At 52.4% G+C, this 4,187-nt stretch overlaps 1 pseudogene; it reads right to left on the reverse strand.

Moving 5' to 3' along the window:
• PIEZO1P1 (piezo type mechanosensitive ion channel component 1 pseudogene 1) lies at positions 285-503 on the reverse strand (annotated as a pseudogene).

Here is a 4,187-nt window from a genome sequence, read left to right on the forward strand (position 1 = left end):
GGGCACACACAATTTTTCTTTCCAATTATATAAATAAAACATTTGTAATTTTAAAAACTCTACAGTTTGCATGGGGGAGGGCAGGGACTATAGCACCAATCAGGCCGTGGGGACACAGTGTCCTCTGACAGCAGCATCAGGGTTCAGGCAGGCCGGGAGGACATATCAGAGCTGGTGGCCTTGGACGGGGCAGCAGCTCCTCCAGCCTGAGGAGTGCCACCCCCTGTGTGGCCGTGCTGCCCAGCAGGCCGGCTCCCTTCCCTCTAGGGTGCCAGCAGCAGCTCCTACTCCTCACGAGTCCACTTGATCATGGTCTCCAGTGAGCGATAGAGGAAGATGAGCTTGGCAGACAGCTCCTCCTCCAGCTCCAGCTCATGGGTCTCGCACGCCAGGAAGATGTCCTGGCAGAGCTTGAGGATGTGGTCCCTGCATGGCAGCTCCTCCAGTGTGATGGAGTGTGAGATCTCGCTGAAGAAGCTGCACATGGACTTGCCCGTGACCAGTGTGACCCCCTCGGCCCACACCTTTATAAACTGTCCCTGTTCTCAATTCCCCTCCATTTTCACCATCTCCTGCCCATGCCCTGGCTGATACAGTGATCGACTGTCGTTGTCATATCTGTTTTGCAGGGGAGGAAGCTAAGGCACAGAGAAGTGAAGCAACTATGCATTGTCACACAGCGAGAAAGTGGCAGAGCCAGGGTAGCCAGGCAGTGTGAGTCCAGAGCTTTTCAGCTGTGTTCCAAAGGCAATGTAGTGACAGGCTTTGATCCATGGTTTAGAACAAAGGCTCGGGTTAAGGTGGGGATGCTGGGCTGCAGGGAAAGACCCTGGCATCTGGAACTAAAAGGCTGTGGCCATCATCCAGGTCTGAGATGAGGCAGTGGGGTGCAAAGGAAGAGCAGTGGACACCACACTGGCAGAACATGGTGGAGGGGTCCGAGATGGGGCCTGGGCTTGTGATGTGGGTGACTCGGGCGATGGTGATACCCTCCCCTTCGACGGGAACAGATATGGAGGTGCTGGTACAGCTCATGGCTCTGAGGGCTGGGTTTTGAGATGCACAGAGCATCTTGGAGTCAGCCTTGGCTTCAGCTCCTGGGAAACAGGATGCAGACCCCCCTCAAGCTCATGGACTTTCTTCATCCACCCCCTGAAAGCTGGCAGCATCTGTGGCTCCCATCGTGGTCGTGGGCTGTGTCTGATCCTGAAGGCTGGGCTTCAGCCTGCCCTCCACCCCCACACGCATCTGACAGCCTATTTTGCGTTAACACCGAGATGCGTCAATGGGAAGCTCAATGCAAGCCCCTGCTGGGAGCCTTAACAGTTTCCAGCTAACTAACCGTGCCTCATGTACGTTTAAAATAGTTTTTGCTATTACTGCAAGGCCCGCAAATCAATTTCTTAGTCACAGAGTCTGCTTCATCTCCCAGCACAGGTGAGTTGAAGCAGGATGCTCATTAAAAGAAACAACGGGGTGTAAACGCAAGCGCAGTGGATGGGAGCCCCAGGGAGGGTGGGTCGGCGCTGCTGGCAAATGTTCAAGATCAACCTGAGACACGTGGTCCCCAGGGAGGTGCAGAGTGCACCGTCCCATACGCAGAGCCGGACACCGCCCCAGGCCCTTCTCCTTTGCCATCTCCCTGCCTTCCCACACTGCCAAGGTGGCAAGGGCGCCTGTGTCCCCATCCTACAGAAGGAAACATGGAGGAATTAGAAGTGGAGCCACTCCAGCCAGGCAGCATTTTGAATATTCCTTGAGCACCTACTGTGTGCTTGGTTCCATGCTAGAAGCTTGGGCCACAACGGGGAAATAAGACCACAGTGTCACTGCTCATGGGGCACTGGCATGCAGATGGGGAGACAATCAATACCAAAACAAAGAAGGAGACAGCCCAGAGTGTTAATGCTCTGGAAAAAAATAACAAAACAAGTCAATGTGATATTAAAAATCTCTGGGAGGGAGCGGGGGGTGCATGTCAAAGACGGTCTGAGGCCCAAGTCCCCAGAGTGAGTGCCTCACGAGGGTCTGGGAGGAGCCTCTCAGGCAGAGGGCAAAGCACGTGCAAAGGTGCTGAGGAAGGAACAAGCTGAGGCATGAACAGGAGGGCACGGCGGGCCAGGCTCTGTGCACCGTGCTGAGGGACGTGAGTGAACTGAGTGTGCTGAGATGGCACAAGCCAGAGGAGAACAGGGTGCTGCTTTTCAAAGCCCAGGCATCTTCACCACTGTGGGCCAGGTTCCTAGGTTCCAGGGCTCAAAACGTGGACGTATCTTTTGGGAGGCCACTATCCACCCCCCACAAAATGGATATGAACATGTGTAGAGATGCAGACACTGATATGGATATGGGTGCAGATAGAGATGTGCATACAGATGTAGCTAAATGTACAGTGACCTCGTGACATTGTAATTGATGATGATTGAAGATTTATCATGAATGATAATGACAAAGGCAGCCAAAGATGCCATCTGGGCCAGTCGTGGTGGCTCATGTCTGTAATTCCAGCACTTTGGGAGGCCAAGGCAGGAGGATCACCTGAGGTCAGGAGTTTGAGACCAACCTGGACAACATAGCAAGACCCCATCTCTACAAAAAAGTAAAAAATTAGCTGGGCATGGTGGTGTGTGCCTGGACTCTCAGCTATTCAGGAGGCTAAGGTGAGGGGATTGTTTGAGTCCAGGAGTTTGAGGCTGCAGTGAGCTAGGATTACACCACTGCACTCCAGCCTGGATGACAGAGCACGACTGTCTCAAAAAACAAAAGAACAAGCCATCTTCACAGATCCCATTTCTTATGGAAACTGATGCCCAAAGCAGCCTCACCACAAGCATCTTTCCCATGGAGCCAAATCGAGTGTGTCTTCTTTGCCCCTAATCCAGAGAAGAGTGGTTGTGTTAGCATCCACTGTTGCCTGTTGCCTCCGAAGGCCAGGCCTGGAGATGGCCTTCTGGTTGAGAAAGGTCCTGGTTTTATTTTTTGCAGATGGGGAAACAAGACTGGGAGAGATCACCATTGATTTCATAAATGTTTATTGAGTATCTATTACATTCCTGGCCCTAAAGATACAAGAGTAAATGAGAAAGATGAAGTCCCTCTCCTTGAAGTAACTTGTTCAAGGTCGCACAGCTACCAAGGGTCTAGGCTGGGATTTGCATTAGGTCAGCCTAATCTCAGAGCCATTGTTCTCTCTCCTAGGGCCACCTGGCCATGATCAGGGACCTCTCAAAAGCCAGGGGATTTTTAGCAAGAAATCTCCAGGCAGGGACATGGCAGTTCACACCTGTCTGGGATTCAGAGTCCCAGAGTCAGCCCGTGCAAGACTAGTCTCATTGGGAGGGGTGTGTCTTCCACCTTGGGAGCTTGGCCACTCCCAGCTCAGGCCCCATTTGGTGTCCCCCACCCCCAGCACTAGTGGAGGCACCTGGTCCTCCCTCTACCTGAGGAGGTGGCCCTTGGACTGGCTAGTGTTTGTTGTCTGGCCTCTTTATTGCCTCGTGATATGGTTACACTCTGTGTCCCCACCCAGATCTCATCTTGAATTGTAATCCCCATAATCCCCACATGTCAAGGAAGAGAGTAGGTGAAGGTAATTGAGTCATGGGGCAGCTTTCCCCATGCTGTTCTCATGATAGTGAGTGAGTTCTTATGAGATCTGATGGTTTTATAAGGGGCTCTTCCCCCTTCAACCTGTACTTCTCCTTCCTGCTGCCTTGTGAAGAAGGTGCCTTGCTTCCCCTTTGCCTTCTGCCACGATTGCAAGTTTCCTGAGGCTTCCCCAGCCATGCTGAACTGTGAGTCAATTAAACCTCTTTCCCTTATAAATTACCTAGTCTTGGGCAGTTCTTTATAGCAGGGGAAAATGGACTAATACACCCAGAGCTGGCCTCTGCCATGAACCCTTCCTGTGATCTTCCCTCTACAACTATTCTGGTATCATCTTGTCCTGGAGGTCTCTCCTAACCCATCACCGATTGCTCTTGTGCCACCCTCTGCAGATCCATGTCTCAGACCATCATCTGGGACTGTCCATCTGTCTCCCCTTCCAGACTGGGAGCTCCTCAAGGGCCAGCTTTAATTGTACCCAAGTCCCAGTATCTGGCCCTGGGGCAGATCAACAGCAACACCTTGTGACCCCTAGGCATGGCCTTGAGACCAGCCAAACCAGCCACCTGCAGCTTCTTCAC

The sequence above is a fragment of the Homo sapiens genome, chromosome 20, assembly GCF_000001405.40.
Source record: "Homo sapiens chromosome 20, GRCh38.p14 Primary Assembly".
Classification (NCBI taxonomy): Eukaryota; Metazoa; Chordata; class Mammalia; order Primates; family Hominidae; genus Homo; species Homo sapiens.